At 42.1% G+C, this 14,480-nt stretch overlaps 1 protein-coding gene across 9 annotated transcripts in view, besides 1 other annotated feature; it reads left to right on the top strand.

Moving 5' to 3' along the window:
* The window catches only part of DTNBP1 (dystrobrevin binding protein 1), a 140,252-nt gene that overhangs the window by 84,852 nt on the left and 40,920 nt on the right, over positions 1–14,480 (top strand). The window lies entirely within an intron of this gene.
* Positions 5,803–6,003: a silencer, noted in NCBI's record as "peak5681 fragment used in MPRA reporter construct". NCBI's record gives its function as "represses an SCP1 promoter by STARR-seq MPRAs in K562 erythroleukemia cells {active_cell/tissue: K562}" and the evidence as "EXISTENCE:reporter gene assay evidence [ECO:0000049][PMID:32103011]".

The raw sequence follows: 14,480 nt of genomic DNA, 5'->3' as shown, positions 1-14,480 counted from the left end.
CAGCGTCGGCTTACTCTGGCTTCCTCGCTGGCACCGTGGGGACTGTCCCTGCTTCCACAGCAAGCCCCTCAGTGTAGGCGCTGGACTCCTTCCTTCTCTCCTGCCTAAGGGCTTTGCTCTGGCAGCGTTGTCCTCTCTCTTCTGCACCATCAGTGCTCACCTCTCTGCAGAATCGTCTGGCAGTTGTTCGTACTGTCCACATACTTCACTATTCTTTTCCTTAATCCCTTTTGCCTGTAAAAGTAAACACATGACTAATAAAACTGACATTACCACCCAAATTATGTTGGCTACAATATCTTGGAAAACTACACTTGGAGAACTACACTTCAGGATTCAGTCCAAGCTCTTTACCTTCCCACCGGAGATGTTGAAGTGCCTCTGGGGTTAATCCTTGGGCCTTTTCTCTCCTGCATTCTTATTCAGTCCCAAGGCTTTAAATACCACCCAATGCTATTGGCTCCAATCCTGGCCTCACCCCTAAATTCTAGACTGGTTTATCCAGCTCTCCGCTCAAGAGTCCTGTGATGGTGCTCACTGGCATCTTAAACTCAACCTGTCAAAATCTGCAGTCTTGAGTCTCATCCTGCCTGCTTCTTGGCTCTTCTGTCTTCTCCATTTCATTAGATGATAGCGCTGTTCATCCCCAGGCTTAGGCTATAAGAGACATCAACAAAAATGCTGCATGAGTCCTCTCTTGCCTTACACATCAGTTCTTCAGTAAATCCAGCCAGTGCTGCCCACAAACTGCCTCTCACCGTTTCTTCCTGCCTCCCCTACTACTGCCTACACTCGGCACTGTTGTCTCTCCTCTGGGCTGCCGTGCGGGCATCCTCCCTGGGCTTCCTGCCTCTGCACTTACCCTCCAGAGAGAGCATCACCTCCTCGTGCCAAACTCTCTGTGGCCTCCCATCACATGTGGAATACCTCCCGAGTCCTGGCTTGCGAGGCCCTGCAGGGCCCAGCCCTTTGCTCCCTCTCTGGCCTTGGCTCCTCTGCTGCAGCTCTCAGCCATTTTGCTCCCTCCAGCAGGCCCATAGGCCCAACCAGGCCTCCAGCTTTTCCCACCGCCTGTCCTGCTCTTCCTGTAGGTGGTGGCCTGGCTCGTTCCCTTCTGCTGCTTTCTCAAGGCTCTCCACATTTTACTTTGTATATCATTCTCTCTCTCTCTTTACCTGGGTTTATTTTATTTGTGACCTGGATCCTCTTTTTTGTCTAAAATGTAAACCTAACATACATTTATCTGGCTTTTCTCTGCTCTATCTGTTGGGCCTAGAATAGTGATTGGCATAGCACCCAATACATGTCGTCTGTGTGGATGGAGTTCTGTAACAGAGTTGTATCTCTTTGCTTTCTTCCAGTGGCTCTCCAGTTCTTACAGCGATGTCTCAGTCATTTGAGCCTCACTTTCACAACTTTTTTTTTTTTTTTTTTTTTAGAGACAGAGTTGTGCTCTGTCATTTAGGCTGGAGTGCAGTGGTGTGATCTCGGCTCACTGCAACCTCCATCTCCTGGGTTCAGGCTATTCTCGTGCCTCAGCCTCCTGAGTAGCTAGAATTACAGGCACACACCTCCATGCCTACCTAATTTTTAGTACAGATGGAGTTTTTGCCACTTTGGCCAGGCTAATCTCGAACTTCTGGCCTTAAGGGATCTCCCCACTTTGGCCTCCCAAAGTGCTGGGATTATAGGCATGAGCCACTGCTACCAGCCTAAAATACATTTATTATTATAAATGGAAAACCAATATCACTTGACATGAATAGAAGTTAATTGCAACCATAGGCCGGGCACGGTGGCTCATGCCTGTAATCCCAGCACTTTGGGAGGCCACAGCGGGCGGATCACCTGAGCTCAGGAGTTTGAGACCAGCCTGGCCAACATGGTGAAACCCTGTCTCTACTAATAAAAAATACAAAAATTAGCCGGGCGTGGTGGTACGTGCCTGTAATCCCGGCTACTCGGGAGTCTGAGGCAGGAGAATCGCTTTAACTCGGGAGGTGGAGGTTGCAGTGAGCCGAGATAGTGCCACTGCACTCCAGCCTGGGCAACAGAGCAAGACTCTGTCTCAAAAAAAAAAGGAAAAAGAAGTTAATAGCAACCATAAACACATAAAACTGTCCTTGCCCACCTAAATGGTCTCGCCTATAATATCTTAGAAAACTGTGGTCTAGGATTAAGTCTAGGCTCTTTACCATAGTAGACAAAAGTCATCCCGAGGGCCATACTTGTGTCTCCTCCTCCTCTGTGTCTCACAGCTCATGGGCCAGCAGCACGTAGCGCAACATCTTGCATCAGCTTTTGTGCACACTGACCCTTCTTCATGGAGTCCATTTCTTTATGCTCTTCACCTCACAGGGCTATTTCCTGTTTCCCTCTGAAACTGCCCCATCTCTCCCTCTTCTGGGAGGTCCCCCTCAAAAGCTCATGAGGTGCACCTCCCACATCTATTCATCCTATTAAGTTGTGGTTATCTGCACAGTGTTTTTTCCCCTCCATGAGTATAATTTGCTGAGTGTATCTTGGACCAGACAGTATTTTGAAAAGTGTTTTTCTCATAAAACTCAAAGAGAAAACATATGTCACACTGAAAGCTGTTTTGGCCTCCAGGTCCCACAGCTCTGGTAGCTACTTCTTCTTTTCCAGGGGTCACTTTTCAGCAGCGACATTTTCCCTGCAACTTTTGCTGATTCCATTAATTTGTTCCTTTGTGAGACAAAATGTCAGTTACAACTGGAAATGTTACCATAAAATTAAAGAGAAGTTGTTCTGTGGTCTCTTGCCCATAACAAGTGATTTTGGAGAATGGTGGCAACGTGGTAGGGAAGAGTGGGTTATTTGGTTTTCTTTTTTACTTGTTAGTTTCTCTCATATTCAGTCTGTTCTCAGATTGTCTTGTTTCAGCATTAATAATTACCTTCAGAGGATTTTGTCTTGTATTACACCCTAAATAACAAATTTGTTTTGTTTATTCAGACTTGTGGTAAGTAGGTTTATATTATATTACTGTATACCTTTTTTTCCTTCAAATTTAACACTGGAATAGCCCAAATAAGTTTTTTAAAAAAGGTTTTCATGAAAGTCACACGCAGCTTGGCTTTCCTGTAGTGGATTCGGTTTGTGTAGAAGGAACAGAGTGAAAACATCACTGGTTTCTGGAATAGGACAGTTTGGGCTAGTATGGCAGTATCAAGTGCTCTGTATTCAGAGAACATATAGCAGGAAATTATGTTTATGTTTGTGAAATAAATCTGTTTTCAACTGTCTGTTCAGAAAAAATTAGTACTAATAACTGGTGGAAAACATTCGACCATACTCAGAAACCTGTCACTCTTGTTTTAGGGTTGGATTGAAGAATATTGGGAAAGCTGGGACACTTTGTTTTAATTGAGAGAAATATTAGAGGGTCCTACCACCAGCTAATAAGTAGGTTTGCGTTTTTTTCATGACCAAGTAATTCCAGAGAAACTCTTCCTTTGAATGATTAGACACTTCACTGTCCTCCTCCTCCTCCCCCACAAAAGTTTTTTGAGCATTTGAGCGGAACAGCTTGCTGAGGGCAGTGCTCTGTGTGCTGAGGAATGTTTATTTCTGTGCACACTGGAGAGTGTGACAATAGATTCACTTCGAATAATTTTTGGTGAAAACAATATGCTCAGAGCAAACTGAAATAAGTGAATAACAAGGCATCTAAAATTATATGGATGGTACTGTGTTTACCTTTAGATGTCAGAACCTTGACAGCTCCCTCGTGTGATAGTGCGTCCTTCCCTGCTCAGCCTCACTTATTCTTCTGTCTAGGAGAGTCTTCTTTCCCCCAGGCAACTCCTGCATATACTGAAATCCGGTGATCCATCTAGGAAAGACTTGTGTTTACTGTTCTTGCTGTCTACTCTGCCCCATGCTAAGGATGTGAGATGAATAAGGATGCCTCCACCAGTGTTTGTGTCTTTAGCAGCTGTTGTACCACTTTGCACACAGTAGGCCCTCAGCCAGTGCTTGTGGAAACCATCCATTTATGGAGCCTCTGCATTTTCTCCTTGTAACTCTTTGTGTTTTTGTGGTGATGCAGAGAATCCACATGGGGTTCTGGTGTGTGTATCTGTTCCGATTTTGAAGATGTGAGCATCTCCCGAGACATGATCTGTTTGTACCTGTGAAATACTTAACCGTCTGTATTTATTTTCTTTTAACAAAGGAGAGTCTGGGCGCGGTGGCTCACACCTGTAATCCCGACACTTTGGGAGGCCGAGGTGGGTGGATCACGAGGTCAGGAGTTGAAGACCAGCGTGGCCAAGATGGTGAAACCCCATCTCTACTAAAAATACAACAATTAGCCAGGCATGGTGGTGGGCACCTGTAATCCCAGCTGCTCGGGAGGCTGAGGCAGAGAATTGCTTGAACCCAGGAGGCAGAGGTTGCAGTCAGCCGAGATCGCACCACTGCTCTCCAGTCTGGGTGACAGAACAAGACTCCTTGTCTCAAAAAACAAACAAACGAAAACAAAACAAAACAGAAAACAAAGGAGCAGAGCTTCTCCTTTTGTTTGTTTTTTTTTTCTTCTGAGACAGACTTTGCTCTTGTTGCCCAGGCTGAGCTCCTGACCTCAGGTGATCCACTTGCTTCAGCCTCCCAGAGTGCTGGGATTATAGATGTGAGCCACTGCGCCCTTGTCTTTTAAACAAAGGCTGCTTCTTTGTCTTTTAAAATAGTGCTGGGAGCCTCTGTTCCTGTTGTTAAAGTTAGTATTGTTTATAGACTGACCATACTCTGTTTTTCATTTTTAAGGATTTTCCAATGGACTCTTTACTGTAATTTATATAATCTCTTATTAGAGTTAATTAGCCCCAGAAATGTTATTGATTTGATAAATCTAATTATTGAGTTTAAAATGGTCTTTGAGTTTTTTTCAGTATATATCATGTATCAAAAATTTTCTATATGGTGATAAAGATGTAAAAGAACAATGTCTACTTCAGTAAACTAATGTTGATCATTGTAATTTTCTTGATTTTGATATTGACTATAAAACATACCTAAAAAAAAGTAAGTGGACAATAGCCTTGCTACTATTTAGGGGATAAACATGGTTTAATCTTTAAACCATGTATTTTAGATTAACCCAAATATATGTGTACATATTAGGCAGTGTAGCAGATGATTAAGAACATGGAATTCTAGGTGTGGTGGCTCACACCTGTAATCCCCATATGTTTGGAGGCCAAGGCTGGAGGATCGCCTGAGCCTAGGAGTTAGAGACCAGCCTGGGCAACAGAGTGAGACCTCGTCTCTACAAATAATTAAAAAATTAGCTGGTTGTGGTGGTGCATACCTGTAGTCCAAGCTCCTCCAGAGGCTGAGGTGGGAGGATCACTTACGTCAGGGAGGTTGAAGGTGCAGTGAGCCACGATCACATCACTGCCCTCCAGCCTGGGCAACAGAGCAAGACTCTGTCTCTAGAAAGAGAAAAAGAAGAACATGGAATCTAGAGCCAGACTGGGAGTGCTGAAATGCTAGCTTGGATGTTATCTCACCTCTCTGAGCCTCAGTTCCCTCTCTGAAAAATGAAAATGATTAATAGGACCTACATCTTTGAATTGCTTTAAAGACTGCATTGATACACATAAAGGGTTTACAGCTGTGCCTGGTATTTACGTAGAAGTGCTGTATATAAGAGTAAGCTATTATTACTACAGAGACAAGGCAAACAGGTTAAGTGACTTGTTTTCCATTGTTTGGTTTCTTGTCTTGTAATATATAAAGATATAGGAACAACAGAAAAATCAAGTTGAAACCTCTCCATGTTACAGAACTGAGTTTTCTGTGCAAAATACATATGGTGGGGAGAAGTCTGCTACAACCATGAAAGGAAGACCATCACTCAGGCTGCTGAAAAGCTGTTAGACACACTGGGTGGGTTTGACTCACCTTTATCACTTATAGCTGCATGTCCTTGGGCAAGTAACCTAACCTCTGAAGTCTACTTGCTCAGCTATAAAATGGGAACAATATGTTTTTTTTCTCATTTGTATGAGAAAAAAATGAAATAACAGTGCTAGCCATACAATAAATATGGAATAAATGTTAAGGTCTTTGTAATTATGAATTCATGCTAATTATAATTCCTGTTTATGTGACTCCTAAATCTTTGATTAGCCACAGGGTGTCACTTTCTTTAATGAAAACAATAAATTAAGATAATTTATTAGCTTATAAATTAAGGTAGTTATTCACATGGAAATTGGCTTCAGAACTCAAACTGTGGTTTCAGAAACAGTTTATTAACAAATGTGCAATAGTAGAATTAAAGTAATTTTGGGAAAAATTTGAAGATATTTAGTGTTAGGATGAGCACTAACTTTGAGATTTACAGATTTGTTCCCTCATTCCTCAAAGTTTATTCTGTACCTGCTAAGTCTAAGTGCAGGATGTAAAGATTAAGACCAAGTGTCTAGCCCCCAGGAAGTTCACAGTGCAGCTGGAAGACAGTCAATAGTGACAATACTATGAATTGACCCCTGGGGTTTGCTTGGGCTGATACTGGGTTCCAGTGGAGGCCTGCCAGAAGTGAACAGTGCCTAGAGGTAATGCATTGGACATCCTTCAGTCACTTGTCAGTAAACCTGTGGAATTCTGTGCATCTGTCTTGTGAATATACAAGTATCTTGCAAAAGATCTCACTTGGCTACTGAAACCCCAGAGCAGTGGTTATTATAGTAAAACTAAAAGAGGGCGGGAGAGAGGAACAGAAGGAGGGAAAATTCTTCATGGATCTGTGATTTACAATCTTTAAAGAGATTAATGTGAGGTTTAATGTGACAGGTGATATACTTGTTCAGTCTTTTAATTGAGATTGACAGTTCTTTGAATGAACTTGAACTGTGACAGCCAAAATCTTTTCTTTTATGTATAGGCAGTTAAAAGCTTTATTTTCCCTTTTTGTTATGAGAGTTTCTAAATATGTACAATAGAGAGAATAAGTAGTACGATGAACCTCCATGTCCCCATCACCCAGATTCAGCAATCAACAAATGGCCAGTGGAAGGTCTTCTGGACCTCTGCCTGTGCCCTTTCCACCTCGATATTTTAAAGCTGATTCCATATGCCATGTCATTTCCTCTGTAAGTATCTCATGTATACCTCTAACAAAATAAGACTGTTTTAAACATAGCCAGAATACCATTATTATTCTTAAAAATAACATAATTTCTTAATGCCATTAAGATAGATATTTTAATGTCAGGTTTGTTAGATTAATGAGTGAAATAGATGTTAAACCATATGTTATATTTCTGTAATACCTAGTTTACTAATTTTTTATTTTCTAAGTATGTGGTTTTGAATTGGTCTTTATTTTCCTGTTGTCTAGTTAGCATACCACCTTAGTTTACATTCAAATATTATTCAAATATTATTTTTTATCAAAAACTTTTACCCCCTTTAAGTGAAAATTTACAAAAAGCTGTGAGTATAATTAGCTTATTTTTAAGCACTCCCAGGAAGAACAGAGTACTGTAAACAAAAATTATCGGAAAAGAAATTTGAAGGAAAGTGACTTTATTGCAGTGAACAGTTTGCAGTACAGGGAGACACAGCCTTTGGTGTAAAACGAAGGTGGGGTTTGGGTTTTATAACAAAAGTTTCACCCTGGTTCCCAGCCAGGTTTATTTATGCAAATGCAGGATTCAAACTTGCTTAGTTCCAGCTGGTTGATATAGCTGAGTTCTGATGGGTTCGTTCAGGTGACCTCTGAAAGTTTCAAAGTTGAACAGAGGTGTGGGCTTTTGGAGAACTCAGAGTACATGTGTGACTGCTAGTCAGGAAACGGCCACTTGGCTGTGTATTAAATTGAAAAGATTCTTGCCCTCAAGAAGCTGGCAGTCTACAAGGAAGAAACAGAAAAACAGTAAGATAGTTGCTTTAATGAGAATATATACCTATGCATTTTGGAACAGAAATGAGTCTCTCAGTCCTCTTGGGAGTGTTGGGAAAGGTGCTTTGATGAGTGTGGGTAAATGGTCTTTTTTTTTTTTCTGTAAACCTTAACAAAAAGTAAATCATAGAATTTGGTGTTGATTGTCCACTGTATGCCAGGCACTCTGCTGGTTAGCAGGTCTACCCCTGTATAGTAGGCATACATTTTAACATGTGTACAGACACACATAGATGTATGTACACACAGGTATACATACGCATGCACATATACAGAGAAGGGGTGAGAGGGAGGGAGAAGGGAAGAGTGAGGTGGGCGGACACCTTCATGGAGTTTTGTCTAGTGAGAAGAGGGAGTTTACAAGCAATAATCAGCATTATTACAGGGACATAATTTACCAAGGAGTATAGAAAGGGCAGGGACTACCTGACGTGGTGACTATTAAGTCTGAGACTAAAGGACAAAAAGGAGAGAACCAATATGAGTAACGAGTGGGCACGAAATTTCTATGCAGAAGAAACTATGTGTTCAGAGGTTCTCAGGAAGTACAGAGCTTGGCAGGTGTGAGAAAACTGAAAGAAGGCCTCTGTGGCTGGAATGTGGCGAGACTGGAGAAGTTAGCAGAAGCCGGTGTGACCCTAACAGGTCTGTTGCTTAAGGCCTGGCATGTCACTACACTGACACCAAGGCTTTCCGTGGAGAAGGAGTTTAGTAATTATAGAGCAGCTGAAAGAGGAGATGGGAGGAAACCGCACATCGCCTCCCTGAGGAGTTTGGGTCTAGAGATTTTAAGGGGTTTGGAGTGGGCTGATGTCTGGGGATCATTGATTGGTTGAAGAGTGCAGGGTGAGGTCATAGGACGGGAGATAGAACTGCATTCTCACGCTGATTTCGTTCCTGTCGGGGCGGGCGGGGGGGGGTCTTAACTGGCTGACTTCAGCTGTACCACTGTAATTCAGGGTCTGAAGCACATCTTAAGCAATTCTTTAAAAAGTTTATGATTCTAATGTCAGCGATCCTGTCTATAGGAACAGTGGGGATGCAAATGATTCTTAAACAAAAACGTTATGATTCTAAGGTCAGATATCCTATCTAGAGGAACAGTGGGGAGGCAGATGGTCAGTGTCTAGTGCTATATGACTTTTGGTTACAAGGAAGTGGGTCAAAGTGCAGCCTGATTACAGTTTAATTATAACTATATTTCTGCCCAGAACTTGGCATGTAATTCTTGTTAGCCTGTGAGGATGGTTTCACCAGATCTCAAAGGGCTTTGTAAGGGGAAAAAAGTACAGTTGACTCTTGAACAACACAGGGGTTGAGGGGACTGACCCCATTCCCAAAGGCAAATGGAAATCCTTGTATAACTTTTGACTCCCCAAAAACTTAACTACTAATAGCCTACTATTGAGCGGAAGCCTGACCAATAACATAAACAGTTGATTAACATGTATTTGGTATGTCATAAGTATAATATGCTATATTCTCACAATAAAGCAAGCTAGAGAAAATAAAATGTAACTAAGAAAATTATAAGGACAAAAAAATATTATTTACTATTCATTAAGTGGAAGTGGACCATTATGAAGATCTTCGTCCTCATTGTTTTCACATAGAGTAAGAGGAGGAGGAGTTGGTCTTGCTGACTCAGGGGTGGCAAAGGTAGAGGAGGTGGAAGGAGAGGCAGGCACACTTGGTATAACTTTTATTGAAAAAAAAAATTCGTGTATAAATGGACCTGTCCAGTTCAAATCCATGTTGTTCAAGGGTCAATGGTAGTATCTTTTTGTTTTCCATGACAAAGTTTGTGTCCGAGACTTCTAAAACAAAAGCAGATTAACAAAAGAAAAGCACACACATTTATTTAATATAAGTTTTACATGACATGGGAGCCTTCAGAAATGAAGATACAAAGAAACAGGGACACCTATGTATTTTTATGTTAACTTTGATGAATAGTGGAGATGCATGGAGAAATATGATTGGAGGACGAAAGGATATCTCTAAAATTCTCTCAGTAATAAATGGGAGTTGGGGGAACTTAGGAAGACCTGTTTGTTCAGATTCTTTTCTTCAGGGATAGGAACATTCCTTTATTCCAGGTATACAGAAGATACCTCTCTGAAGAGGATCTTGGACCTACTTTAGGGGAAAGTTAGAGAATTATTTTATGGACTATTTCAGAGGGAAAGGGCAGAGAAGGTGAGAGTGGCCTTCCTGATTCTGCTGTTTTCTCAAATGCCAAGGTGTACCATATTTTGGGGCAGCATGTCCTGAACCCCATCAAGGGCTTAATGATAATATTATACATATATTATCATTAATCCGCATAGCAACTCGTAATGTTCTTGTTCCTATTTTACTGAATTGGAGAGATTTTAAGTAACTTTCCAAAATTACCCAGCTAGTAAGTGGTGAAGCAGGAGTTTTAACATTATTGTTTTGTCGGTGAAATAATCCAACTCCATAAAATATTTTAAGAGGTTTATTCTGAGCCAAATATGAGTGACCGTGGCCTGAAACATAGTCTCAAAAGGTCCTGAGGACATGTGCCCAAAGTGGTTGGCTTACAGCTTGATTTTATACATTTTAGGGAAATATAAGCATCAATCAATACATGTGAGGTGTACATTGGTTTGATCCAGAAAGATGGGACAATGTGAAGCGAGGGGGCTTACAGGTCATACGTGAATTGTACGATTTTCTGGTTGGCAATTGGTTGAAGGAGTTATCATCTAAAGGAGTATCTGGGTTAAGATAAAGGGTTGTGGAGACCAAGGTTTGTTTGTTTGTTTGTTTGTTTGTTTGTTTGTTTGTTTCCCGAGAGACAGAATCTGGCTGTGTCACCCAGGCTAAAGTGCAGTGGTGCAATCATAGCTCACTGTAGCCTCAAACTCCTAGGCTTAAGCAATCCTCCCACCTCAGCCTCCTGAGTAGCTGGGGCTATAGGTATTTGCCACCATGCCCATCTAATTTTTTTTTTTTTAAGAGACAGGATCTCACTGTGTTGCCCAGGCTTGTTTTGAACTCCTGGCCTCAAGCAATCCTCTGGCCTAAGCCTCCCAAAGTGTTGAGATTACAGGCATGAGCCCCTGCACTCAGCCCACTCAGCCTAAGATTCTTAGTGTTTAGATGAAGACTCATAGGTGGCTACGCTAAAGATGACAATAGATGGCAAATGTTTCCATTTAGACCTTTAAAAGGTGCTATACTCTCAGTTAAACTCTTCAGGATTGGGAGGGTCTGGAAGGGGAAAGACCTAGTTATGTTAATAGGGATTCATTCAGGCTGGGCATAATGGCTCACGCCTGTAAACTCAGCACTTTGGGAGGCTGAGGCCGGCGAATCACCTGAGGTCAGGAGTTCAACACCAGCCTGGCCAACTGGCGAAACCCCGTCTGTACAAAAGTTAGCCAGGCAGGATGGTGGGTGCCTATAATCCCAGCTACTCAGGAGGCTGAGGCAGGGGAATTGCTTGAATCCAGGAGGCATAGGTTGCAGTGAGTCAAGATCATGCCACTGCACTCAATCCTGAACGATAGAGAGAGACGGTCTCAAAAAAAAAAAAAAAAAAAGGAGATTCATTCCAGATGCAGATTTTCCCCCACAAAAGGTAGCTTTGCAGGGTCATTTCAAAATATGCCAAAGAAACATATTTTGGGATAAAATATTTTATTTCCTTCTTTATCTGTCATGTGAGGTTATGCTAGAGTCAGGTTGGAGTGGTATCTTATTGCTGCAAAGAGTTTGTTCTGTCTGTCTTAGGATCTGTGTTTTAAAGTTAGTGCTGGTCAGCCTGTCTAAACTCCAGAATGAAGAAGGTATGATGAGGCATGCCTGACCCCCTCTTCCCATGGTGGCCTAAACTGGCCTTTCAGGTTTCTTTGGAATCCCCTTGGTTGAGAAGGTGGATCCATTCAATCATTTGGGGGGCTTAGAATTTTTTTTTTTTTTTTTTTTTTGAGACGGAGTCTCGCTCTGTCGCCCAGGCTGGAGTGCAGTGGCGGGATCTCGGCTCACTGCAAGCTCCGCCTCCCGGGTTCACGCCATTCTCCTGCCTCAGCCTCCCAAGTAGCTGGGACTACAGGCGCCCGCCACTACGCCCGGCTAATTTTTTTGTATTTTTAGTAGAGACGGGGTTTCACCGTTTTAGCCGGGATGGTCTCGATCTCTTGACCTCGTGATCCGCCCGCCTCGGCCTCCCAAAGTGCTGGGATTACAGGCGTGAAGAATTTTATGTTTGTTTTTCAGTCTTGGCTTTAGAGCCTGTGATCTTTCTACTGCATGAGGCTGCCTCTTAGTAAAGAAGCAAAATGCTTGCAGAGTACTCTGTATTTCTCCTCTGAATGTTTAATATGCTGAACACTTCACAATAAGTGCTAACACGAACTACATGGTCACATGAGATTTTTGTTTTCAAACAGTTTTATTGAGGTATAATCTACAAGCCATAAATTTTCCCATTCTAAGTGTACCATTCAGTGATTTTTAGGAAATTTAAGGAGTTGTGCTCTCATCACCATAATCCAGTTTTAGAATATTTCATCACCCCAAAAAGATTCCTTTCTGCCTAGTTTCAGTCAATCCCAGCTCCCAACCCCAGCCCCAGATAAGCATAACCAGCTTTGTCTCTATAGATTTGCCTTTTCTAGACATTTCATATAAATGTCCAGAATCCTATGTTACGTATAGTCTTTTGTATTTGGCTTCTTTCACTTAGCATAATATTTTCTAGGTTCATCCATATTATAGACTATATCAGTACTTCATTGTTTTTTATTTCTGGTGGTACCCATCGTATGGATATATTACATTTTATTTATCCATTCCCCAGTTAATGGACATTTGGATTGTTTTCAGTTTGGGGCTATTTAAAAAAGTACTACTGTAAACATTCCTGTGCAAGCCTTTGTGTGCACATGTTTTCATCCTCTTGCGTAGATTCCTAGGAGAGGAATTGCTGGATTCTATGATAAGTTTATGTTTAACTTTTCAAAGAAATTGACAAACCATTTTCCAGAGTGACTTTTTACAATTTTACATTCCCTCCAGCAATGTATTAGGGTTTCAGTTTCTCCTCATCCTTGCCTACACTTATTGTTTGTCTATTTTAATACAGCCATTGTAGTAGATGTGATGTGGTATCCCATGTAATTTTGTCTTTTTATTTTCCTGAGACAGGGTCTTGCTCTGTCACGGCTACAGTGCAGTGGTGCCATCTCTGCTCACTGAAGCCTTAAGCTCCTGAGCTCAAGTGATCCCCCGACCTCAGCCTCCTGAGTAGCTAGGACTACAGGAACACACAACCATGCCCAGCTAATTTTGTTTACTTGGGTGTCTCACTATATTGCCTAGGCTGGTCTCAAACTCTTGGGGTCAAGAGAGCCGCCCATCATGGCCTACCAAAGTGCTGGGATTACAGGCATGAGCCACTTTGCCCAGCCATGTGATTTTGATTTGTACTTCTGTGATAACTAATGATGTTGAGCATCTGTTTTAATGTGTTTATTAGCCATTTGTGTATCTTCTTTGGTAAAATGACTATTAAAATATTTTGCCTATTTCTTAGGCTGGGCACGGTGGGCTTATGCCTGTAATCCCAGCACTTTGGGAGTCTGAGGCGGAAAGATCACCTGAGGTCAGGAGTTCGATACCAGCCTGGCCAACATGGTAAAACCCTGTCTCTACTAAAAATACAAAAATTAGCCAGGAGAGGTAGTACACGCCTGTAAACCCAGCTACTTGGGAGGCTGAGGCATGAGAATCGCTTGGACCCAGGAGGCAGAGGCTGCAGTGAGTAGAGATTGTGCCACTGTACTTTAGCCTGGGCAATAGAGTGAGACCTTGTCTCAAAAAAATCAAAAAAAAAGAAAGGAAAAATTTTTTTTGTCTGCTTCTTAATTGGTTTGTCTTATTATTGAGTTGAGTTTTTTAAAATTTATTTTGTGTAAGTTCTTTATCAGATATACGATTTACAGTATTTTCTCCCAACTTGTGCATTTTCATTTTCTCAGTAATATATTTTGAAGGGCAAAAGTGTAACAGTAGTAGGTTCCTTGCCCGATGCACATGGCAAGTCAATATACCGAGCCACCGAGTTACAGCAGAAAAAGGTTTACTTGTGGAGCCGCTAAATGAGGAGATGGGAGGAAACCTCAAAGGGGTCTCCCTGAGGAGTTTGGGGCTAGAGTTCTTTTTTTTTTTTTTTTTTCCGAGACCAAGTTGCCCAGGCTGGAGTACGGTGGCATGACCTCAGCTTACTGCAACCTCCACCTCCCAAGTTCAAGTGATTCTCCTGCCCCAGCCTCCCGAGTAGCTGGGATTACAGGCATGTGCCACCACACCTGGCTAATTTTTGTATTTTTAGTAGAGACAGGGTTTCACCATGTTGGTCAGGCTGGTCTCGAACTCCTGACTTCAGGTGTTCCACCGCGGGAACCTCGGCCCAGCCTCAGCCTCTCAAAGTGCTGGGATTGTAGGTGTGAGCCACTGCGCCCAGCTGGGGCTAGGATTCTTAAAGGTTTTGGAGTGGACCGAGTGTAGGGATCAT

Source organism: Homo sapiens, chromosome 6 (assembly GCF_000001405.40).
Source record: "Homo sapiens chromosome 6, GRCh38.p14 Primary Assembly".
Lineage (NCBI taxonomy): Eukaryota > Metazoa > Chordata > Mammalia > Primates > Hominidae > Homo > Homo sapiens.
Note: the sequence above shows the minus strand (reverse complement) of the source record. Positions and strands in the feature narration are given on the sequence as shown.